The 27,023-nt window shown below is 35.0% G+C and overlaps 1 protein-coding gene across 7 annotated transcripts in view; it reads left to right on the top strand.

Moving 5' to 3' along the window:
• UNC13C (unc-13 homolog C) overlaps nucleotides 1-27,023 on the top strand; it is a 795,839-nt gene that overhangs the window by 659,104 nt on the left and 109,712 nt on the right. For all 7 annotated transcript variants that reach the window (XM_047432538.1, XM_017022220.2, XM_017022221.2 and 4 more), the window contains 4 exons: nucleotides 3,374-3,470; nucleotides 4,130-4,273; nucleotides 10,412-10,489; nucleotides 15,048-15,125. In XM_047432538.1, the coding sequence (XP_047288494.1) occupies nucleotides 3,374-3,470; nucleotides 4,130-4,273; nucleotides 10,412-10,489; nucleotides 15,048-15,125 (397 nt within the window). The remainder of the gene's footprint in view (nucleotides 1-3,373; nucleotides 3,471-4,129; nucleotides 4,274-10,411; nucleotides 10,490-15,047; nucleotides 15,126-27,023) is intronic.

Genomic DNA, 27,023 nt, shown 5'->3' on the forward strand with positions numbered 1-27,023 from the left:
TAACTCAGGAATGGAAAACCAAACATTATATGTTTTCACTCATAAGTGGGAGCTGAGCTATGAAGAAGCAAAGAGGCATGAGAATGATACAATGGACTTTGAGGACTTGAGGGAAAGGGAAGTTGGGGGGGAAGGATAAAAGACTACACATTGGGTACAGTAAACACTGCTTAGATAATGGGTGCACCAAAATCTCAGAAATCACCACTAAAGAACTTATTCATGTAACCAAACACCACGTGTTCCCCTCAAAACCTATTGAAATGAAAAAAATTTAAAAATAGAAAAATAAACAAGAAAGAGGAAAGAGTTAAATATGAAGTCTGTATGCCTAAGTTGTTGGTAGTATCATTGATCAGGAATAGAGAAGTAAAACAGAGGAGCTATTTGCCAGATGCTTCTGCTTCTGGCTCTGTCTAGACACTCTACGCTAAACTAAAATCAGACTAATATTTTCCCTGATGGCCAACAAAAAAGGTAAATAAAATTAAACAGCATCAGAAAGACAACAAAGGCAACCAGGACTTGAGAATCTAAGATCCCTGAGAAAAGAAAAATGCACTAAGGTGAGTCCTGTATTTTGTTGCATCTTCTCTCCCATGTTTTCACCCCCATACATCTGCCAATTTGCAATACGGGGCTTGCAGAGCAAACAGCCAACAGTAGCTCAGAGTTTACAGCTGTCTCCCTGGACTGGAGAAACAATATGGGTTATGGGGCTATGAAGGCTGCTTGGATTTGTGAGACCAAGATCCCAGAGAAAAGGAAACCACAGAGATATGAGTCCAACATGCTACAGGCAGTTCCCACTGAAGGCATTTTCTGATGCCTAATTTACCTATGTGTTGAGATTGGGGCAGAAGAAAATCAAGTAGAAAGTGGCCACTAAGAGATTGGGAACTAAGTAGATACTTTAGCAGTCTCATAGTGCTGAAGGGACAAATGTTAGAGATCAAGGCTGGTCCCCTTTGTGCCTACTTACAGTAACAGTCTCTCCTTCTGTTGCAGCAGTAACCACCTTCTGATGCCTAATAGCATAGATTAGTTTTATAGATTTTTATACTTTTTATAAATGGAATCATACATTGTGTACAAAAAATAAGAAAGAAGGAACATTATAAACACTCTAGGCTTTCAGGTGAGATTTTTGAAGGTCTCTGCCCTAGAAATAATGACAAAGTGGAAATAGACCAACCTAAAACCCAACACTGTCTAGATCAAAGGTCCACAGCTTTTCATGGACAATATATAACATTCATCAAAAAATTAAAGGCTACCAGACAACAGGACTAAATAACTATCTGGAGATTATGCTTCTTCAGCAATGAATTGAAAAACCAGACCCCAACAAACAGTAAGAACAAAGAAGTTTGAAAAATCTGAATAAAACATTTAGAGATATCTATCTATATAGGTATCTACATTTCTATATCTATATCTGATCATCCAGAGTTTCCATAATTTTTCATTGACAATGCTTACACACAAAAACACCCATATAAAATTTATAAACAAAAACAATAAAATACATATTGTTATTAGGAACACATGGTACATTTACCAAAATAGACTGCCTCCTGAGCCATAAAACAAAACTAATACATGTTAAGGGGAGAAATCATGTATTATATATTCTTGACACTGTAGAATTAAGACACAAATCAACTCCAAGAAGATAATTAGATAATTAAATACAGAAAAGCAGCAGAATATTCTAAATACTCATGAGTAAAAAAAGAAATCATGGTAAAAATTACAAAATATTTTGAATTAAGTGCTAATAAAATATGGCATATCCAATTTTGTAGAATGCAGCTAAAACAGGAAGTAGATGAAAATTCAAAATGTTTTTGAAGTAGAATTTTAAAAGTAAGTGTGGTCTATTTAAAACTTTATTAAATTTCTGTATTATAGCCACAAACAATTAGAAAATCATATATAAATTGTACCATTTAAATAACATTAAAATCACCACAAATAAATGTGATGAACGGCGTACAAGCCATGTTTTCAAGCAACTATAAAATATTATGAGAGAAATTTAAGATGAACTAAATGAAATCTGTAACATTCCTAAAAAGATGCATTATTATAAAGATAGCAATTCCCCCCACATGGACCTACAGTTTCAATACAACCCTATGCAAATTTCAAAAGATATTTTTGTGCAAATTGACAAGACTTTTAAAATGCATGTAGAAATGCAAAGTGCTTAAAAATACAAAGGCAATCTACAAACTGGAGAACTACATTATTGGTTAGCTAATAAAGTAGAGTTCTTAAGAGAGTGTCATGTTAATGCATTTCTCAGTCCTTTCTCACACTGCTATAAAGAAATACCTGAGTCTAGGTAAAAAATAAATAGGTTTAATTGGCTCACAGTTCTGCAGGCTGTACAAGAAGCATAGTGGCTTCTGCTTCTGGGAAGTCCCCAGGAAGCTTTCAATCATGGCAAAAGGCAAAGAGAGAATGGGGCATCTCACATGGGGGGAGCAGGAGCAAGAGAGAGTGAGGTGGGATGTGCTGCACAGTTTTAAATAACCAGATCTCATGAGAACTCAAACACTATCACAAGAACAGCACCAAGGGGATAGTTCTAAACTATTCATAAAAACTCCACCTGCATGATCAAAGCACCTCCTACCAGGCCCCACCTCCAACATTGAGGACTACAGTTTGACATGAGTTTTGGTGGGGACACAGATCCAAACCATATCAGTGCATAACAAATAAACCAAGGGAATAAAATAGTCCAGAGGCCAATTCACATGTATGGCATGATGACCTGATTTGCATCAAAGATGCAAATTCAATGCGGTGGGGGAATAAAGGGTGTTCTAAATAAATGGTGCTAGATCAACTGGGCACACATACAGAAAAAAGAATTTATGCTCAGAATGGAGAAAAAAATATCCTACACAATTTCCAAAAATCAGTTGTCCATAGATTATAGATCATAACTAAGGAGTCTGAGGTAAGCACCCACGATCGGTTACAGATTAGTGTGAATGGGTAGAAGCTATATGGCAAAGAATTTAAAAATGAGGAAATGCGTTGATAGGGAAGAGAGCACACAAGGTCTACATTTTACAAGAGTTTGAATTTTGAAGGGAATTACAGAGTAACTGTTGGAAACTAAGCATATTTGAGGCAGCATGCGAAGAACCAAGACGGGGGTAGAGGTTGGAGGTAAAGAGGAGGAGACTGATTTGATGGAGAACAGGTAAAGGTCTCTGAGGAAGCAAAACTGCAAGAGAGAATGAAAGGAGATTGTTGATTCTAAATTACTCTCATATGCAAAAAGAGCAGCATTCCTGTTAATTTTATGCAAATGATGTCCTTTGTGGTATGTAACATTATTAATTTGTTATAGGTGGTTTGAACCTTTTGTCATGCAATGGCTAGATGAAAACGAAGATGTGTCAATGGAATTCCTTCATGGAGCACTGGGAAGAGACAAAAAAGATGGAGTGAGTTTAAATTACCTTAAGAAAGTTCATTGCCATGATTCAGTCACATTGCTTACTTTTAACCTAATGGGAATTATTAGACTCATTGTTATTAATTGTTTCCATTCCCCAGTGACCAAAATTAATTTAAAACACAATTTCAGTGGTCTGGTCAGAACCCTAGAAACTTGCCTACATTTATTAAAAAAAAAAAAAATCAATCACCCATTTTTCCCAAGATTTTCTTTAATTCTTACATTAATCTGAATCTACAGGTTTCCTAACCTTGTACAAAACATCTTTGTTGTCCTGGAACTTTTCCAGGATTTCTAGATTAGGAGCAGACATTCTCCCAGTCCCTGTGAAGCAGCTCCCAAAATCGTGAGCCACAACCGTCTTGCTAAGCTAACCTATTGCCTGTGGAGAAAATGAAAGACAAAAGAACCAGTACCTCAATTCAGCAGTGGAAAAACCAATTAGCAGTAGCTTGCCCCATGATATTAGTTCCACCACACTTTCAAGAAAAGGAGATTAATGATTTTAAAGTGGGTAAGCATTTTATTACTGGGAAATGTAAATATGTGATACGGGAGATTCAGTTGTTGATGGGAAACAGTGAAGATTTTTCCATTCCGCCTCTAATGTACTGTTTGGGATGGTTTCACCTCCTCTCCCCACAGTTCCAGCAGACATCTGAGCATGCTCTCTTTTCTTGCTCCGTGGTTGATGTCTTTGCTCAGCTGAATCAGAGCTTTGAAATTATTAAGAAACTGGAATGCCCTAATCCTGAAGCATTATCTCACTTAATGAGAAGATTTGCAAAGGTAGGTTAAATAAAATGAGTCTTCTTTTTCTCTGGGTCTGTGGCAATCTGAAAAATGCTATTGTTTTGTGGTGTTAGTCTTCTCTGTCACCCCATCCCAGTTTATTTGTAATTCTGTACTAGTAAATTCAGTTGTTTCCAGGATTCCCATCTGATTTCCTACACTTCCTGTTTCTTTAATATGGATTTATCATCTTAAAAACCTATTTATTGTTCACTTCGAGGACTCAGTTACTTATAATCGAAGAAATTACCATGGATTTCCAAATTACTCCCATTTCAAATGTGGTGTTTTCTAGCTGAAAGTAAGCCTTGGCAATTTCACATTCAAATTGCCAAGTGTTTTAGCAGACATTGTAGTATAGTGCAATGTATATTGAACTTGGAGCCATGAAAACTGATTTCTGATTACAAATCAACCAATAATTGTAATTGAATCTCAATAGTTCAAGTTTTTTATGAATTTAGTTTTCATATTTGACATATTGATTTTGATAAACCAAGTTCATCTTAAGGCCCCTTCTCCTCTTAAAATCTAAAATGGCTTACCATGTGCTTACTACTTTCCCAAGAGTTTCAAGGGAAATATAAGAAATAAAAGAAGCAGCCACTGTCTATCAAATCTCAGAAAAAATCCATATAATATGCAAGACCACATGACATAAACTAATTGAAAGATGACGTGAAAAGGGACACAATTCAGCTTCAAGCTTAGTGAGATCAACCGTAAATTGAGTGGAGGGAAATCTGATGAGAGCCGAAATAGACAGAGGCTTCATGACAAGGGCAGGGCTCATAGAAGACTAAAACGGAGAAGTTAGAAAAGTATTCTAAGCCAGAGGAATAGCGGGAACAAAGGAAGAGGTAAAGCTGAGACTGACATGGGAAGGGCAGGGAGAAACAACCCTTGTGGGGAGAAGCAGTAGGAAATGTTGGGAGAGTGAAGATACCCCAGATCTTGAAGAACTTTGCTTCCCAGGTTGAGAAGTTTAGACTTAATGTGCTGGTCAACTTAGGAAACGCAGAACCTTTGGAGATTTTTATGCAGGGTAGTGACATAACAAACATAGTAATTTAGGGAAACTACTTACACAGTTCTATGTCTGGCTGATCTAAATATAAGTCTGATTCCATGGATTGAATGATGACTGAGGTTTTAGGCTGTTCATTCAACAAGTGCTTGCCTATATGCCTCACTCGCACACACTATAAGCCACCTTGAGGGATGTAGTCATGAATAAGCATAATCTGTGACCTCAGAAAACTTGTATGGAAGGGCCAAAGCTGCAAACAACTATGACAAAGTCAAATGTTATAATCAGAGCATCTCAGAAGTTGAAAGAGGCCCAGAATATAGATAAAGAAGCAGAGACAGACAGAGAGACACTAAACTGTATTATATTTATTTGCCATGAAATATTCTGATCTCATCTTCATTAATTAAGACTAACCTCCTACTTTTAAAATATTAAATAATAGCCAGTAATCATTTATTTAAACCATTCTTAGAGATGACTTTCTGAGTCCCCTTAGATGATTCTAATTTCCCAATATAGCGAAATCTGTAGAGCATAATTCTAAAAATTCTCTAAGTCTTTTCTTGATGAGCAGCTGTGTTTGGGTGAATGCCAAGAAAAGAATGAAACTGGGTCATTAGGAATAGTGTTTGACAAAGTATGTCACGTACTATTCTTGGAATTCTGTAGGATGTAGGGGAAGCAGGCTCATATGAGAATTTAAAAATCTCAGGGTTAATATATTTAGGTTAATATATTTAGTAACATATGATAATTGTACCTGATATTAGAAAAGTAACTAGAATTCACCCTCAGAATAGTCAGGCAGGTAGGTTATGTAAGTTGGGCGACATGAGTGCACGGTAACAGAGTAGAAAGAATGCTGAATTGAGATTCCTAGACCCTGAGCTGCAGCCACCCGTTTGTAGCTCTGACCTTTCTTCAGCTGTAATACTGAACATAGCCACAATATGCCTGCTTGGGTATAACCAAATGTACTGAATGGAAGTATAAAAGGGTGGGAGGTCACAAGGAAGGTCATATTAGAATCACACTCAGGAAAATACATTCTCTGAAGCAAGAAGAAAAGAATCAGCTTCCATGTATTACTGAGGAGATGTGTGCTTTTATTGGTGCAATAAAAAATTCAATTAAGTAAAACATTTTTAATCCATGGAAATTCAACAATATCCAATTGTCAGCAGGATATAGTGTAAGAACAATGAGAAGCATTTTCTGGAAAAGAAGAAATTAGTGATTTTCATTGAAAAAGAAATTCTATTTTATTGGAATGATTTAAAAATCTCTTGCCAGCATTTCTCTTTTTAACTCTTGCAGTAACTTACTATACAGAATAATAAATAAAAAGCAAAATCAATTAAACATAAATATAAAAATAAGAAACATCAGTCAAATCCATTTTACCATTATCAGCCTTTCCTTTTTTTTTTTTTTCTTTTTGAGACAGAGTCTCACTCTGTCACTGGAGTGCAGTGGCACAATCTCCGCTCACTGCAACCTTCACCTCCCGGGTTCAAGTGATTCTCCTGCCTCAGCCTCCCAAGAGTAGCTGGGATTACAGGTGTTCACCACCATACCCGGCTAATTTTTTGCATTTTTAGTAGAGACAGGGTTTCTCCATGTTGGCCAGGCTGGTCCCAAACTCATTATCAGCATTTCTATCTATAATTTGTATTTTATATAACAAAGTAGATAAAAATCGTTTGTGTTTACTATAATTAGCCATTTCACAAGAACTGCAAACTATTGCAATTTGTTTTTATTTCATCAGATGTGACTGACTAATTAGTCTTGAAAACTCTACGCTTCTAAGTATTGGAATCCTTATATCAAAATATACTAAAATCCCATTATCTTTATGGGATTTATATTGATTTAAACAGTCTCCTGGAGATCAGACACATTAATTGTATCTGTAGAGATTTAAAAATTTTTGCATTTTAAAATGGGATTTAAAGGGACAATTTATTCTTACTAAACAGGATATAAGACTAAAAAAGGTACCAAACAAAATGCTTCAAATTTCATATCAAGAACATTCAGAAGCTATGATGAGTGATAAAATGGGCACATGAGTAGTTAATATTCCTATGATTATAGTGCTGCTCTTGACAAGTATGGGTAATTTAATTTTAAAAATAGATATGAAGTAATGTTATTTTTAATATTGCCTAAAAACAAATAAACAAATATTAAGTCCTGGGTATGAGTCTGGCTGTTTGCCAGGTGCTGCAGATACTGTGGTAAATGACGCACACATATTTATTTCTATTCCTTGTTCTCTGGGAACATAATTCTAATTTTTAACAATAATAATGATAATTCATTGAGCATTATTATATGCTAATCACTTTATACATTTTCTTATTCTTCACAACCATCTAATTAAATGGGTACTATTATTTTCCCTAATTTCCATCCATGATGAAACAGACTAAAAACGTTTAAATAATTGAAATGATATAGATAGAATCAACCACTAAACTATACTCACTTCTCATTCTGGTGTGATCAGAATTAAGTTAGAAATTTGGAGAATAGAATCTCACTATTTGTTTTTTACCCTTAAGGTCAAACCTAGGCATTTATGGTGACAGAAATGGGAGACCCTATCTTATGTTGGATGTGTTAAAATACATTACATAAATCCGTGAAGTCACATTTCTTCACAATATGACAGTTTTCTTGTCTTCCTTGTGTTGCTCTAATACTGCATTGTTCCATGCATAAAATGTGAATGAAAAGATGGATTTTGAACCACACTTCTTATCTCACTGATCATAAGAGCAGTACACTAGATGGAATAACTGGAAGTGTTGACAGGATATTTAGCCCACTCCTAACAGGGTGGCATTAGCTCAGAAAAACACAATGCCTTTGTCTGAGTAATTGATGGCCGTCCCACTCAATGCTCCACCAGTACCTGTGTGTCAAATCAGAACTGATTGTAGCTGAAAGATATTTCAGTCACCCTGTCTAATCCTTTAAATGCAGCAGAATCACTCTCTGTACTGCCACACTCCTATTAGAATTTCATTTTATTTAATCTGGAACTTTTTGAATAGCAGCTCTTTATAGGCATCCGTAAAAGAGCCCTCTACTCCTCATGACTATTTCTTTAGAACAAGATGCAACAGTCCCTGCTAGGCTGTTTGTTCCCTCTGTCTGCACTATACTCTCTTCTGAAGACCAGTAGTTCCCCAAAGATAAAATCATGACCTAAGCTCACACACCCAGAAGTCTTATGTTCCAGGCCTTGCCAGGTGCCCCGTCCATCACAGCTTTTCTCTGAAGAGTTACCTCCACCCTGCCATGCATTCGTTAAGATAGTGGTTCTCAAACTTTGTATGCATTGGAATTACCTTAGACTTGTTAAAACCCAGACAGCTGGAGCCCACCTCTGGCATTTCTGACTCAGTAATTTAGGATAGGACCAAATAATGTGCATGTCCAACAAGTTCCCAGGTGATGCTTATAATGGTGCTGATTCCAGAACTACATTCCGAGAAACAATGAGTTAAGCATGTCATAAGCAACAGCTTATTAGTATTAAAGAGCTATTGTGTGATAGTGGTTTACTTAGCTGAATAAATTAGAATGAAATTGAAGTTGCCCACAAAATGTACTTTGCACACTCTCATTCAAGTGTACATTGTACATTAGTAAAGATGGGAGTTATTACGGCAGTGTGCTTGCAACTCTTATAGGCACACAGCTTTAAGCTATATTCTTTTTTTTTTTTTTTTTTGAGACAATCTCGCTCTGTCGCCCAGGCTGGATATATTCTATATGACTGTGCACTTTGTCTTACCTGCAGCCCATCCTGACTTGCTAACCATTGGCATTTGTAGGCTATTACGTGTGAGATCCCAGGATTCCTTGTCTCTAAGCATAAATTCAAGGGACTAAGGTTTTCCTATGAAGTAGACTCAAGCTGTAGGCCATAGGGCATACTTCAAGAATTATCGTAAAGGGTATCCAGCTTGCTCTTTCTTCTTTAGAAAACGATAACAAAGGCAAAAAACAAAATCTATGCTGTTCAGCAAGTCACCCGGCAGCTGTAGGATGTAGGGGAAGCAGAATCATAAGAATTAAAAAATCTCACATGGCAGTAAGTTGTAGAGGATTTTCACACAGCCCAAACTTTACCTTAAGCAAGTTACAATGTCTGAGTTACAACGATTGCCTAAAGTCAGGTTTATGGTTTGTGTTTATATGTTGTTGTGTATGCAATACAATATAATAATTCTTCAAGTTTATAATGTCATCAAGAAGCTGTAGATTGAGAGTAGTATTCATACGTACAAACGAATAAGTATTTCATAGGTAAGTCCAAAGTAATTGAACAGTATGTCTAAAGTAAAATTTGAAGAGACACATTTGAAGATAATTCAGTCTGATCAGTCATCTGTTTACCAGGATTTATTGGTCTGCTGCTTGATAAGATTTTATATTTTCAAGGTCAACTTTCTATTTGAGCTGATGCATATTATCACGTTACTGTGTACTTCAACGAAGTATTGATTTTCTGTCTGTGTGTTATCTCTTATTTCAGGATTTCATTGTGATTTTCAAAGTGTGTAAGCAAGCTTATAATCAATTTAGCGAATTCAGGTTTATAAATTAAACATCTCTTCTTCAGCTTAACTCTTTGGAGTGTCTCCCTCAGTTGATTTTGAGCCACTAAGAAAATTCAGGCATATGTTGTACAAATAAGAAAATAAAAGCTTTTTTGTCTTTACTTTTCTATCAAAAGAGATGACATTTCTACTGCTATTGTTGCCTTATCTCTTCTAAGAAAATCATATCTACATTTGGCTTATGATAATTTAATCTATGTATAAAAGCAGTGAGTGCAAACACATTCATGCATCTTTAAGTAATTGAAATAAAATTTAATTAACATGGTTTATTTTCCTCTGCTTTGCATAATTAATGAAAACAGAGGGCATTCTTAGGCTCAGAAACAGTTGTTAGAGGGAGAAAAAAATGTAGAACTAAGATGAAAAAGACAGCAAGAAGTTAACTTAGGATTAAACTTTATAGCATATTTGTAAACTACATACTTACCTGGGTAAAGTTCACAATGTTTTCTTTCTTAGACTATCAATAAAGTGCTGCTCCAGTATGCTGCAATTGTATCAAGTGATTTCAGTTCACATTGTGATAAGGAAAATGTGGTAAGTAAAAAATGTCTCTACTTTCAAGTATCTCTCAGTTGAGATTTACTTCTTCAAAGTATGAGTAAGCAAGATAAATTGTTGACTTTCAGTTTTCACATAGGATAATAAGAAATAAGGATCTTAAGAAGCTGGAAACTTCTCCAGGGTTCTTGAACTGGTTTTAATACAGGATTTACAGGAAGGTAGAGAGTGTCTCAATGCCAGCCAACTTGTGGTTTTCCATGTAGATAAGGAACAAGACTAGAATAAATCATTGAAAATAAACATACTCATAAAATACTGGAGCTGAGAAAAACAAGGGACTTAAAAATTAGATGAGTATTGGCACCAACTAGTTTCATTTTGGCATTAATACTCAAATAAGTGTAATTTAGTCTTTCAGTTTTCAAATAAATTGCAAACGTTAATATATGGAACAATGCTGATTTCTATTCTGAATTATTAAAATAGCTTTTTTAGATGATTGAGAAAATATTTATAAAATTCAAACTAGTATTGCAACTTAATCAAAGGCATAAAGAAAAGCTAGATAAAGGTATTTGAAATATAGTAAGATTTATTTTATGATGGAAGGTGAAAGCTTTCTTATTCAATCTGTAATATTAGGAGAAATACATTGGCAGCATTGTAAACATTTTGAAAAACAGTAGCTCTGAAAAAAAAAAGTGTTTAAAAAGTGAGTATAGGGTTTTTTTTTAAAAAAAAGAAAAACCAGTTTTTTCCCCCTCCAAAAATCAGTTTCGCTATCAGGTGAATCTAAATTATTCTAAAGAAAGCTACTAGTTTTCTCCCTGAAACCTCATTGACCTCTTGCTGACAGCTCATTAAGATAAGTCAGTCCTAATGGTTCTTGAGAATTCTATAAGATGCTTCTTTTCCTTAAATTAATATGCTGCCCAGAAATTTTATTAGAACTTTTTGACAACTCAAACAATTATTTCTTATTGCTATTGATTATACTCAAAAAGCAAGATATTTATTTATTGAAAGTATATTATTTCTGATTACAAGATAATACATGTCTAAAGTGTTACATTGAAAATCAAAACAGTATCTGATAATTTCACAAAAGGATCCTGTTTATACTAGGACAGCCAAATTGAAGATTTTGAAAGGTGACCATGAGCTCCTAAGGCTAATTCCTGCCATTCAGAAAGGCAAATTAGTTTTTAAAAGCCCCTGCAGAGTTCCACTTTATGTATTAACATTCTATATTATATTTTACATTTAATAAACACTGAGATAAAAATCATAACCCAGTATTTATTATATTATTCTATGTACTCTTTCTGTAGGTTTTATACTTGGAAAAATTAAATCTTTATAAAAAGAAACAAAAGCCCTCCAAATATTACAGCAAAGGAACTTCCTTTTCCTTCCCTCAGTGCTTTTCTTCCATAATTACTAATATCTTGACCAGCCTTATACACTGTTGCTTAAATGCCAAGTATCATTTTAGCTTTTATAAAAGAATATCACTTGGTTACTAGGCTTATGTTTTCATTCAAGGCAAATTGAAATGCTTTTGTACATTTCCATGAGTATATATAGTTACTATTACAGATACTTATTTATAATTATTTTAATATCAGATTTCAATATCAAGATCACTGAAACTTGTACATCTTTCAGTATATCTATGGCAATATATCTATTTCATCTGCAAATTGAGCTAGAAACATCTAAAGATAGACATCATTTAAGATACGACCATAATATAGGCCGGGCGCGGTGGCTCACACCCATAATTCCAGCACTTTGGGCGGCTGAGGTGGGCAGATCACCTGAGGTCAGGAGTTCAAGACCAGCCTGGCCAACATGGTGAAACCCTGTCTCTACTAAAAATATAAAATTAACCAGGTGTGGTGGCGTGCACCTGTAATCCAAGCTACTTGGGAGGCTGAGGCAGGAGAATTGCTTGAACCCGGGAGATGGAGGTTGCAGTGAGCCAAGATTGTGCCATTGCACTCCAGCCTGGCCAAAAAAGAGTGAAACTCTGTCTCAAAAACATACAAACAAAAAAGATATGACCAAAACATTTGAGTTCTCCGGGTTCAGAATTAAAGACCAGAGTTAAATAAAATATCCATGTCAGAATAATTTGTTTTCTACTGTAACATTTTAAATTGGAAATGGGTCAAAATATTTTTATTTATTTAATTTCACATTCCAAAATATAGCAAGACATCACAATCTAAATTAGAATTACTTTTATTTTAAATAATCTTTAAAATATTTTTAAACTCAGAAACACTTTGGCCATGTAGAAGTGTTCCTAGTCTGAAACTTTCATATTCACTATGTTTCAGTTTCCTAACTTTGTTCCAGATTGAGATAAAATTAAAGGTATTATTCTATTTTTAGGGAAAAAATCAAGATATAAAAATAGGAAGATATAAATTGACTTTAACATAGTTTGTTTTATCTTACTAAACTCAAAAAGCAATATCCCTGAATTAGGGTAATGTTTCCTTTGCTGTCAGTTTCCTTTTTTCATTTACTATGAAGTTGTTCTTTTTTTCATTTACTATGAAGTTGTCGAAAGTAAAAACTGTTTCATGATTAAATTTAAGGTGAATTTGTATAATCTGTTCCCAGTAGCAGTTTGATGAATTGATTCAGTAAAACTGCACTTTGAACATTTCAAGGTCAGGGAACTCTTAATGAAAAGGGAGAGTCTCAAATTTATTTTTGTTTCCCTCCGGATAACTGCATCTCCTCTTTTTTCTCTGTAGTCTAACTTGGGGTCAATAGCAATCCATGTCAAGTGAGCCAAACTGTCCATGTTCATTTTGTTCTCAGTAGCTCTTTTTCATCAGAAATCATCATAGTAAGAAGAGTTGGCAGTTGACCTTTATTTATAAAGCTAGTACTAGGGTCCTGTTACATGTGACAATAAAGATTAGCTTGAATGTTAATATCAAATAATCTAAGAAGAGTCTATCAAGCTAACTTAGACATGGGAAACAAGGTGATAATAACCACTCACTTGTGTAGTCTTCCTGTTTCTCATTATAAGTCATTGTTTTACTTTGACCTTGGATTTCTCCCTGGTAGGATTGCCCAGATTCACACCAAATCTTCCCTTTCTGCAATTAAAAGTAAATGTCAATGACCCTACCTCCTAATGAAAAGATAGGCTATTGGCTTAGTTTGTGGATTTTGGTTCAAGATGCTGAATCCTCTGAAAATGTGGCCCTACTCACTATGGAAAGGACTAAGCCCAGATCAAGTAGTTCTCACTTATGGCTATGGATCAGAATCATTTGTGGAACATTTTGATTCAGCTAATTAAAACAGAATCTTTGGGGGATACATCTCAGATATCTGTGTTAAAAAATAAAGTTTTTAAGTGACTGGAATCAAGGAAACAGAAAGGAATTATTAAATTGTTTGCATAAATCAAAGTGATGATGTGGTCACTTTAAGAGTCAAGTAGAAAGTTTTTCAAAGGTCATTAATGTGGCTCAAGTAATAATAAAATCTTTCCACTGATAAGAGCTAACACCTCTCTGACATCCCTTGAGTCCTTTGCATGACTCTGGTTATTGGGTTATTTCTCAGCAACTTGGAAGATACATCCATTTTCCTTCCTTTGTCTATTTCTCTTTCTGTGTCTGTTTTTCTCTGATATACTGGCTCTTAGGAATCAATATACAGCAAAGATTAAATGATTCTATAACTATTATGAATTGTTTTCTAATTATGAATTAATGTTTACTATTCTAAGTTCACATCTAGACCTGTCACAAAGCTTTACATCTTTGTTATTATTATATTATCTGGCTCCTTGGAAACAAGTGGAGAAACATTTTCTAAGCATGTATTATATGTACACCACTGTGCAGTAGTTTGTGAGTAAGAAAAGCAGAAAGAGACACAGCAGCATGTACAATGTATTTAACGTTAGCTGGTGAGAGTGAAAAGCAACTCAAATGTAAAGCAATGTAAAACAAATGCCAAGTGAGTGATAAGATAAAATCCAGGAAAAAAGAACGCTCTAACCTGAATGATGGATATGAGTCAAATAAGCAAGTAGGAAAATGAGAAGAAAAACACAGGTTAAAGCCAGAAGAAAAACACTTCGAATACCAGCATGTGGTCTTTACCTGCAGCCAGAAAATATATTTAAGTTTATTTTTAAAATGTTTTTGCATTTAAAAAATCACATGGTATTTTCTTTTCTAAAACAGTAAAATAACAGAAGAATTTAAGCTAACCTTTTTCTAAAAGTAAATCTATAAAAACAAAAAGTGTGCTTACTTTCTAAGTATGAAATGTTACAATGTTAAAGATAAAAGAAACTTTAGCAGCAAGTCTCCAATGGTTTATTGTCTGAGTATGTTTTTAAATTTCATTCCCCAATGTGGCATTATGTTTCTCTGTTTCCATTCTTAACTGTTACAAACTATAATGTTGAAATAGCAGAATTAGTATATACATCTAATATAATAGGAATCCAAGATAGCTATTTTCCACCACTTATAAGTTAAACTCATTCAATAATTTTATATAAAAAGATTGCTCATAATAGTCTTTTTTTCTATATTTAAAGCCCTGTATCTTGATGAACAATATTCAACAATTGCGGGTCCAGCTGGAAAAAATGTTTGAATCCATGGGAGGGAAGGAGGTGGGTATCTTTTTCTCCTACATTTGCTAAAAACCTACTTAGAGATTATTAGCAGCATATCTCTTGCTATGAAAGTGTCTTAATCAAGTTTTTACATGGTTAACTAAGAACAGGAAATGATAATAATCTCAAATGTCATTAACAACTAAAATGATTATTATCCACAACAGAATACTTTAGTAAATACATTAGAAGTGTGAATGGGAGGCAGAAGATAGTAGCCTTTGGTCTTCTGTGTGTGCGCATGTATGTTTGTGTGTGTAGTCATATATACACACATATATATTTGTATGCTAATGACTTGTAAAATTCCACAAATTGTGTTTTTCACTGTCTTGTACAATGTCAGCTTGATATCAATGTTTATTCTGCAATATGCTTTGTGGTGCTATTGGTTTTTGATGTACTGGAGTTTATTTTTCACATTGAGAAAGCTCTGTCAAAAATGTGTTGTGTGATGTGTCTGTAATGTGTCATGTCTTTGTCCAACATCTTTGACTTGCAATTCCATGAGCAGAAGAAGGAAGGAGAAAGATTCTTTTATGAGGTTTGTGATAGTAAGCATCTTATCCCTTACCTGGCTGTTCCCTCCAACCCTCACTCCATACCTAAAGACCATTGCATTTTCTACTTATTCCCATTTGCTTGTTTGGAACAGACAGACAGTGAAATACTAGCTATGCACCTGCATCTTCCTGCCTGCCACAGTCTTTTCTTTCATAAACTGACCTAAGCATTCAGGGATTGAGGACTGGAGAAGGTGCTGAGAGGGAGGGTCATGAAGCAGGGTTTCTCCCCATGCCCTTATTCCGCTGGAAACAATCTCAAGGGCAGCTATGTCAAGAATATGTAGATATATACTTCTGTTTAAGATTCCTTTACATTGTTCCTTCCCGTGGGAAAGTTTATGAGATGTGCGTAATGCTAGGATGCATTTCAAAGTAAATATCCCTTTTATTTCTAAACTTATGTGACTACAAATGTTTCTTTTAAGATTGGCTCCTTCCCATGTGATTTTGCTTTTAACCCCAAGGAGATGTTTTTACACTTCTCCAATGTCTGTTTCTTTTTCAGTATTTTGAAAAATGAACTTGCTATTTAGCATTCTGCAATGGTGAAGCACTAGAATATATGTGTGATGATGCAAAACTTTAAAAAAATGAACCTTTATGAGCTGTGCCTTCATTGCAATCTCAGTTTTATTTGTATAAAATAAGGCCTCATTCCCTAAAGTGTGTTAATGCTTTATGTAAAGTTTGAGGGCATTGATCTTATTTTAAAATTATTCTGCTGAATTAGGTAAGCACAACCAATTAAGGAATATAATGTGAGATTTCCTTTTCAATTTTACTGATGTTTTATATTCAGACTTGAAGTCCACTTAGCATTTAGAAAAGTGATGAAGAAATTATTGATTTCATGTGGGAAATATTATCTCCTTCCTATAAATTTTAAAGCCCACAAATCATTTAAGAATAAAGTTATATTTAAAATGTCATATTTCCATAAATTTATCCTTATGCTACTTATGCTATTTCATTACTATTCTGTGTTTGAACTCTAATGTGAATAACATATTGTTGAACTGAATTTAACCAGATAAATCAGACCTGTACTTAAAGGAAACTGGATGGGCCAAGCCACTTGCTAATTAAAAATGTTATAAAGTGGCTTGTTCACCAATCAAAAATGAATTCCTTATTTCAGATAGAATTGCTGGTTTGAAATATACAGGTTTCACGCTATTCATTTTATTTCAAATAGATGACTAAACCATAGAACTCCTCCTCTTATTGAAGAACATAATGAAAACAGAAATACTGAGCTTGGTACCTTCTTCCTTTAAAACTCTTGCAATGTCTACTTGCTAAACTCCTCAGACACGATTTAAGAAGAAAGCGTAAATAAATCAGTGAAATAAAATGAATGCCTAGCTTCTAACGATGTAATCTTCTCCTTTCTTTTTCTAAATATTTTTTTTCATTTCTTTCCTTCCTCTCTTTACCCTTTTCTGTGATTTTCTGTTTCTCCTGTTTTCTTTTTCTCCTCTCTATGCATAGATCTTTTCTCTTACTGTGTTCCATTTTCAGCTCAAAGTTTTAGGTAGGGCCAGTCAGCATTTGCATAGAGATTGATGAAATGTCAGGAGGAAGCAAGACTTGCATTCAAGTCTGAGTGCATCATGTGTCCTCCCAGAAAATAGAAGCTTAATTGATACAGAATTATGATAGAATTTCTGATTACTCTGGGGTCTCAAGGCAACAGAATTTCAAAATAATAAGCAGAGTTCTTCCAATATTGTTGTATAAACATGGCAGTATCTAAATGGTTTCCTTAACTTGGGGCTTTTATAAAGATGAAAAAGGATTTGATTGAAAATTATAGAATTCACCCTTTGATATGAGAAAATTACAGAATTCACCCTTTGATATGCAACACTTGATACAGACATGTTCAGGGGCCTTTAAAAGTTATACAATGTGTTCTAATTCAAATTCCCAGTTTTTTCCTTACAGTGGAACTGGTTGTAAAACCTTTCACTGGTATTATAACCAATTCCACTGTAAATAAGGGAAATATTCCAGGCTAGACCTTATTCTTCATTTAAGAGTTTCTTTTTATCTTATCCCCCACCATCTGTGCTGATATATGTACTTCTTGCTATAAAAATTAAATAGCAAATAATTGCTTGTGCACTTGCTCAAAATGGTTTTTAATGCTATGTGTTTATTAGCTGGCTTCTAACAACAGCATTGCTTTCCTCTAATATTATACTATCTGCAAAGTGCTGGCTGCTTACAGGCATGACTGCGTGCTACTGCAGCTCCCTGCTGCTTTAACCTTATCACCATGTAGTTGAGGCAGCTGTTTTTTCTTCACAGAATCAGCCTCTTTTCCCCCTGGAAATAAAAAGAGTGTTTAAAACCCTTTTTCAGTGGAAAAATTCACTCTCTGTATGGAGTTCAAATGGAAGCATTGCTTAACACCATGATGATCGTGGGATTATGTTGTTGACAATGGTTCCAAAAACAGTCACTTAAGCAATCATTGTTAGACAGTTGCATGCACAATATCCTATGGGCCATGTCAGCACATTTACTTTCTAATGCCCTATTTAGGGAAAAAAAAAGTCAAAAGAGAAAAGCAAACCACTAATTTTCTTCTCCTCTAAAGTGATTTTCCAACACACTTCTCTGCATACAAATCAGGGGCATGTTTTGGCATAACATCTCTGATTCCTCTAGAGAATATATAAAAAAAAATCTCACAAACCACGAAGAAAAACTAACCTTTAGGAATGGAGTACAGAGTCTGTTTTTTTAAAAAGCACCTCTGGTGATTTTTTATGTGGATACAGTTTTGGGAATCACTATACTAAAACAAGTAAAATAGCCAACCCGTGTTATAGATGTACTAGAGCTACAAGTTAATTTGCACTACAATCCCCATATAATATTATCTGTCCCTTTATAACACAATAACAACAAAATGATTATCAGGGTGCCATGTAATAATTTTCATTCATTGGTGAGTGATTACGTTAGGTTACATTATGTTAATAGCTTAATTATTTCATGAATATAATTTATTATCTATCAATTGCAAATAATTACTTAGCTTGTATTCATTTTGTAACAAAAACACATTGCTGCAGCCCATGAAAAGGACTTATCATTAATTTGTAATCTAATATATACAGGTATATGAAAAAATCCAAAATTTAATTTCTTTTCAGGAAGTTATAAGATATGCATTTTGAAACTCTAAAGAACTTGTGTTATGATCATTGATTTAGAAGGTGCATTAATCCTTCACAATATTTTATTGGTGCAATCGTTTTAAATGGTAGAATCCATAGTTATCCATAAGCCCACTAACTGTTGATGTTACTTCAAATTGTAGTTAGCTGTTATTAAGACATTCAGGGAAAAAGGAGGGTTCGTTTGTTCAGCTAAATTATTTTCATCTGTTGACCACAGGCAGCTCCATTAGGTATAATGATAATGCTATTTGTATTGTTATGACTCAAAAAAGGATTGACTCTTCTGTGTCATACCATGGTGGTAAAATTTCCCATGAGAGTAACTTCACATAAGTCCAGGCAGAATAGAGCCAAGGAATCTGGACCATAACCCCATCATTTTAAAAATATGGATATTGTAATGGTCAACTAAATTATCCTTTTATTTCAGAGATGTATATCTATGTCGCTTTTAATTTTTAATGACAAATTTGATGTGTCAACTAGAAATTGCATCTGACTGCCCAAAAGTGTGTGTATGTAGCTCATTGAAATTCATTGTAATACCTATTAGCCACATGGACTAAGTCATTAGCTAAGCAACCCTAGACCAGGAAGGAAAAACATTAATCTTCATCATTTTTCACTTGCCACTAGCCTCTCAACTTTAAACGTGCTGAGGCAACAGGAGATGAAAGATCAGAGCTTCAAAGGAAATAATACTCCATGCCAGTAGTTCTTCTTGAACTTCAGCACGCATCAGAACTACCTGATGAGTTTATGAAAAACACACATCACTGAACTCTACCCCCAGTGTATTTGATTCAGTACGTTTGGGGCAGGGCCAGGTGATTTGCATTTCTAACGAATCTCTGGGTGACGCTGATGCTACTGGTCTGGGGACCATGCATTGAGAATTACTGCTATATGCTTTCTGAAAAAGAATCAGGCCAGGTGTGGTAGCTCGTTCCTGTAATCCCAGCACTTTGGGAGGCCAAAGTGGGTGGATCACCTGAGGTCAAGAGTTCGAGATCAGCCTAACATGGCAAAATCCTGTTTCTACTAAAAATACCAAAAATTAGCCAGGCATGGTGGTGGGCGCCTGTAATCCCAGCTACTCAGGAGGCTGAAGCGGGAGAATCACTTGAACCCTAGAGGCGGAGGTTGCAGTGAGCAGAGATCGCACCACGGCACTCCAGCCTGGAAAACGGAGTGAGATGCTGTCTCAAAAAAAAAAAAAGTATCAGATAATTAGAAAATAACACAGAATACCCGTTTTTCTTATTTGTACACCAGTCCTGACCAGCCTACTTTCTGTGTTTTGAATCTTAAGAACACCTGAGATTCAAGGTGTTTGTATGGAAATTGGAACAGCATGCAAGAGTGCAGGCAAGTATTTGTATTAAAGAATAGGATAGTCCCAAAATAAAGGTAGTCGATTTGCAATCATATACAAAATTCTTGCAGTTTTTTAAGATTCTGGCCTTTATGCTTGAATTTTATATGTAATCTTATAAAAAATGGTGTTATAGTTAACAGAGGCCAAATTTTACATTCAGGTTTCTAATCTGTCTCACCTTTTCTTCTTAATATAGAAATATAAGTTACTAGTTAATAAATTAATAAGAATTAATCTACTGTTCTCATATTTTCAGGAATTACAAAATATAGAATAAATTATAAAGTATATATTAGATAGTAAAATAGACAATTTCAAATTGTCACATTATATCTTTCAGTTCTAAAACTGTTTTCTAAACCAATTTGAAAAGTTCTTCGTATTTAGTTAGAATATCCATTGTTGCCTACTTACATGTAGTTTATCTGCAGGTGGGCAGAAATTGGGGTACAAAATAAAAACATTTTTTAATGCCTGGGGTCTCAAGGAGCTTACAAGGTGTAAGGAACTTGGTAAAACATAATTAGACTAGAGATGCCTTTTAGCACTTACTGAAGGATATTCAGAAGCCAGCTGTTCCACGTCTTTCTCCACCACTGTAAGCACCTCTTCCTCTTGGGGCTGACTGCTGTATGAAAAAAAGGTCTGAGCACACTGAATATGATGACAGAATTTACTCCTTCGCTAATTCATTCAACAAATATTTATTTGCTGAGCACTTGTTATGAGCTGTAAATTTTACTAGGAACTGGAGATACATTAATTACTAAGATGCAGACCCCACCCTCAAAGAACTTAGAAGTTTTTAGGGGAATCAGAGCAATTAAAGAGATAAGGTTTGTGAGAGAAAAACAACAAGGACACTCCTAAATGTGAAGATATCCTTCAGATGAAAGTTTTAATTGTTATAACTTATCCTGCAACAATTCAGAAATAAACTCAAACCTCACCTCTTGTTGTATAAATAGAGGTAAAAAGGGAAATGTAATTTGGCTGACGTCAGTAAAAGCAACCAGTTATAGCTTCATAGCCCCAGATAATAAGGAGAATTGAATATTTGAAGTGCTGGCCTTTTATTGTGGCAACATGCACAGACTGCCTGGTTTCTTTCTCCTCCTAATCATCTCTGCAATTAGATTTAATAAATTGAACTTAATGGAAAATTAAGAGAATAATAAGGGCCAATAAAGCAAATTATATTAAAGTGATTTAATAAATATGTTTAATAATTTAGCACTACTACCACATAAAGTTTAGCTAACTGCTAAGCTTGTGAAATTAAGAAAAGGTGCTGCTGAGGAGGTTGAAAGGTTTTTTGGTTGGCGAGCCATGTCAAAATGAAATACAGACCCAGGCAGGTGACGCTTGTTAACCTCATTTCCCAGAGCATTTAAGAGAGCTCACAGGGTTACTCATATACTGCCAAGTCTCTTTTTAAACTCACCTCTCTCTGAACCTTAAGAAAACTTAAGGAGAAAGGACACATGCCCCAGCAAGGAAGGAGAGGGAGACGGCTTCACTTTAACTGCCATCTTCTATAATAAATCTATTTCATTATCTTGTTGTGATCACCTTCAGTTGCTCATGCCTGCTTTAACAAACCATAAACCAATGCCATTACTGGTAAAATTTAACTTCTTTAACCCAGTCAGTTCTCTTGTTTGCCCTACTAAGCAGAATAGTCCTCAGACACCCTGAGATAATGGCTCACAGAGAACACTCTGTCCCCAGCACTTGATGGTCAACAGGTCCTGAATTCAGTTGACTGGGTGGACTATATTCACATCGCTGAGCAGTGGTTTATAACACATGCAGGAATGTGAAGAAACAGCCAAATGGGTCAGACAGAGTAGGTCAGGGGAAAAGGGCAGAACAAAATTCTGAACATAAAGTGTCTCGTTGATTCTATTCCTAACTTATCCCTACCCAGTCCATTTTCACAATTAGCCAATAGATGCAACATGTAAGCCCTAAATTCCTTTCCCATTGTTATAAAACGGGGATTCCTGTTTTTTTAATGAACATTCTCAGAAGAGAATTTCTTCAGAGGAAATAGCTTCTAAGAATGCAGCTCTTCAGTCCCCATGTGGCTCCAAAAGCATAACACATTATCTGTGCTTTGGTTTTACCCATTTGGAAACAACGAGGAAGTTGAACTATGTGATTTCAGAAATTCTTTTTTTTTCTAAATTTCTGTCATTATAAGGACAATCCGCATGTTAGCAATCCATGAAGTAGAGGAATAGTGTATGTGTTGCAGGTGAGAAGGGAAAAAATGTATAAGAGAAAAGAATGTCACATCACTCATATAAAGCCTGAAGGTGTAATTTAAAGAAAAACAGTTCATAGAAACAGAAAAAGCCAAAATTCCTTATATTCACTAACTCAAAACTATATTGAGTGAATTATAAAAGGTAAGGCAATCTTTTTTTTTCCTTCAGTTGTCTAGACTGAAGAACCTCATTTAACATATCTCAAAGGCATTTTGTTGATTTGAAGCACAGTGACAGTTGGATTTACTGCATACTCTCTTTAATTAGGATGGGAGACAGCTATTGATGTTCAACTTTTTGAAACCCAGAAGTTAGAAACATGAATTTATACAACTGATACCTCTAGCATAACATTCATGCAAATCTGAATAGGATAAAGAAAATGCCATAGTCTGTCTGAAAATTGTCGTGTAAGTTCTTGGAGTTTCTCCTTAAGAGGCATTTTAAAACGAAACAAAAAACAGGGTAGTATGGTTAGAGCTGGGCACATTTGTTTCCGGTAGAGAGGACCGTGTATTCTTTTACTTCTGACAACAAACCACAGTATTCATGCTGACACCACAGGCTTATGAAGTGATTTAGGGCATTTCCAGGAAAGTACCCTACTTCTAGATTCACTAGGGAATTTTTGCTGAATTCTCAGTCATATATTTTAAGTTGAAGTAGACCCTATAAGATGAAAAGATTCCGGTCAAGTGGAAGATTTGAAGGAAAATGATGTTTTAAAAAGAAAACATAAAAAAAGCAAGAGCCCAGATAAGATTGTGAGAAGTTGCTTGAAGCAATTCCCTGGTGGAAAGCCAGCTTGAAGGATGATACGCCAGTGTCATGATCATATTTGGGTTTATTACACCAGTTAGGAGGATGAAGGGGGGAAACAGGAAATAGGAACACAATGTGTAGATGATTACAGTAGGCTAGAGGAGAAAAATTCAGAATCTGGAAGTGAAGAGGAAAAGGCAGGTGGATAAAACATTTCAGAGATATCACCAATCATATTTGGTATGGAAGTAAATATGGAGGGAAGAAAACAGAAGTCAAAGATGACTTTCACATTTCTGCCTTAAACAATTGTAGGCCATTAACCAAATCAGAGGAAATAAGAAGATAAATAAATTAAGAATAGTAATAAGTTGTGCTTTGATATGCTACAGCTGAAGCATGTATGAGCCATCAAAGTGGAAGTTTACTAGGTACTTGGAAATATAGACATGATTCTCAGGCATGCTGTTAAGAATGTTGATAATAGATTTGGGGCCCTTAGCATATGGGTGATAATTGAAGCCATGGGCATGAATTTAATTGCTCAAGGGGAGTACAGAGTAAAAAGAAAAGAAGACTGAAAAAGGAGAATTGAAGGACACTAATATTTCAGGGATATACAGAGGAGGAAAGTTAACAGAAGACAGACAAATCACAGGCAGTTAGAGAAGCAGGGAAGGACCTTGGGAAACAGAGCAAACAACAGTATGAATGAAGGCTAAGATAAATAAGGTCCTTGAAATTAAGAAATCATTGGTGACCATATGGAAACACGTCAGTGGCATATCTGTAACAGAAGCAAGCCACATTGCAGAGAACTAATGAATGTTTAGGAGAAAAGGATGTGGAGTCAACAAGTCTGACACTGTTGTAAGCAGTCTGAAGATCAAAAGAAGGAAGGATATTGGCTAGATGTCAATGAGAATGTAGTTCCAAATAAGTTTGGCTTCTCTTTCATTGTCTGTTGTTTATTTTAACATAAATGTTACTTGAGCATATTTATAGGATGGGGTAATAAAATTAATGGTAGAGGGAATGAAAAGGGAAAGAGATAATTGATGGAACAAAATCCGAAAGAAGGAACCAAGAGTGCAAGTTAAACAGCATTTTTCTTGGAAATAAGGCTTTTTCATGGAACTAGAGGTGAAATTTTTATTTATTAATGTTTTAATGCAAAAATATTGGAGAGTATGAAACCTACCAGAATAATGATTAAATTTTGGCCCCTGGTGAGATGGCCAGGAAGTTACCTTCCTTCCTGATTTGCACTTCTTTACAGAAAATAACCGATAACACTGATGAGCTGAACACAGGAAAGATAGCTTTGTAGCTCGTAGGAAATGAAGGAAATGAGATAGTAATAAAGACTGTGAAGAAGAAATAAAATTCACACTAAAGATCTTTAATTTCTTCCATGCAAAGTCTATTTTTCAAGAGTTTATATTGAGCTATCTGAAGAGTTTAAATGACTTTTAAATGACTTTGCAACTCATTGCTTGTAACTCTAGCAAGAGCTTGAGGGTCAGTTTAACAATTGCTGCTGTAAGAGAATATATAACATGTATTTTCTTTAGACCTCTAGGGAAATAATCTTTTCTGGAAAACAAACAAACATGCAGTGTGGGTATGGTAACCATTCTTCTGAACCAAACAAATAGCAGGGAAACACCTGACATGGTCTGGCAATGAGATAGATATTTGAAATCAGGATTAACTTGATAACTCTGGAATATATGGTTTCTAAGGAATGAAAGATTTCAAGGGCAAAATATCCTATTCATAGTTAATGCAAGGTATCAGTCCAAGGAGATGAAGATGATATAGGACTGCTTCTGTGAGGGAATTTTTATGCTTCTGTCTATCCTCACTTCCTTCCTCAACATGTGGTGAATGCCCATGCATGCAGGACACTGGAACAGATACCCAGGATAGAAAAGTATGAACAAGTTCTATGGAAGAGGTAGATTTATAAGAGAGCATTTAGAGAGAACACTGCATACACAGTTATAGTAAAGAGCATAGTCAGTGTAGAGGCTAGATCTACTAACTGCCTAGGGCTAGCTACACTTGAGCGAAAATTTGCAAAAGGAGATAAGTGAATTATCTTTTAAAGAAAAAGGAAAAGTAAGCCTTAAGGAAAATAACTTAAGATGAAGGAAAATAACTTAAAAGATGTCTTTCTGGCCAGGCGCGGTGGCTCACGCCTGTAATCCCAGCACTTTGGGAGGCCAAGGCAGGTGGATCACCTGAGGTCAGGAGTTCAAGACCAGCCTGGTCAACATGGTGAAACCCCATCTCTACTAAAAATACAAAAAAAAAAAAAAAGCTGGACATGGTGGCAGGTGCCTGTAATCCCAGCTACTCTGGAGGGTGAGGCAGGAGAATTGCTTGAACCCAGGAGGTGGAGGTTGCAGTGAGCCAAGATCGGGCCACTGCACTCCAGCCTGGGCAACAGAGCGAGATTCTGTCTCAAAAACAAAACAAAACAACAACAACAACAACAACAAAAAGTCTTGCCTACTAGCTGGCTCTCCCAGACAAGTTATATCTATTACCACAGCTCAATGGTATAAAATACCTCAATGGTGTAAAACTCAGTTAATACCTATGTGGGATTATAGTTTATTCTGATCATCTGAACCATACTTTGGCAGCCTAGATTTTGAAATTCCCAAGCCCTTCGTAGAGTGGGGAATTAAATCTGTCTTGAAAACTTTATTTTAAATTCAGAATTTGACTCAAAATCCTTAAATTTTCATTGTGTATATTCCTCATTACATAGAAACTTTATTTTTTTAGCCAGCCAACCAATTAAGTTGTTCATACACATGCTAATTGAGTTTCTACTTTAGAATACACTGTGACTTATGAATATTCGAAATTTTTCTGTTCTTTCCCTCTTAATTTTTGCTTTTAACAATAACTCTAAATAACAATACAAAAAGATTCAAGATAATTTTGATGTTATACTACTTATATAACTAGGATAAGCTTTAAACCTTTGAAAAAATATTAGATTGCCTTTTACCTTTACAAGGTACCCAATAATTTTAAAAATATGCTATTGATAATTCAGGCAATGAGCTCTCAGCTCCCAATCTATTATTTCTTAAAATTTTACAAAATTTGTAGGAGTAAGAAAAATGTCCTCAATTTGGACACATAGAGTAATGCAGAAGAACTCAAAAACTGGTAGTTTTGCTACCTAAAGAGATTGTTTTATTATTAGATGAGTATGATAATTATGTCCATTATGCTCATTATTGAAAAAGATCTGCAATTTGAAGAGCCATGTACACTGGCCTCAGAATTGCTTTGCCTGTTTTAATGGTATGATTCAGATCATGTAAACGTTAAATACTTAACTGAAACTAAAACTTTTCCTTTTGTGGGAGGGACTGGTTACATAACAGAGACATTCCGTCTGCACCTGCTTAGAAACATACCTATGTATCCAGAAATTAAAACTGTCATCCAATGTTCAAATCGCTGTAGTCTGGCAGTTTTAGGTTGTCAACTAATAATTATTTGATGAGAAATATCTATTCACCAAATACCTAAGGTGGACTAAAATAATTCTATAAGAAAATAGCATAATTTTGTGCAAGTGACCTATGTAGCCATTTCTGTATGACCTTGAAGGCCTTATCTGGTGATAATCCTACCTCAATGTGAACAAATTACCTCAGTGTGTATATTAAACTAATATGGAAACCAAAACA

This window comes from Homo sapiens, chromosome 15 (assembly GCF_000001405.40).
Source record: "Homo sapiens chromosome 15, GRCh38.p14 Primary Assembly".
NCBI classification, from domain to species: Eukaryota; Metazoa; Chordata; class Mammalia; order Primates; family Hominidae; genus Homo; species Homo sapiens.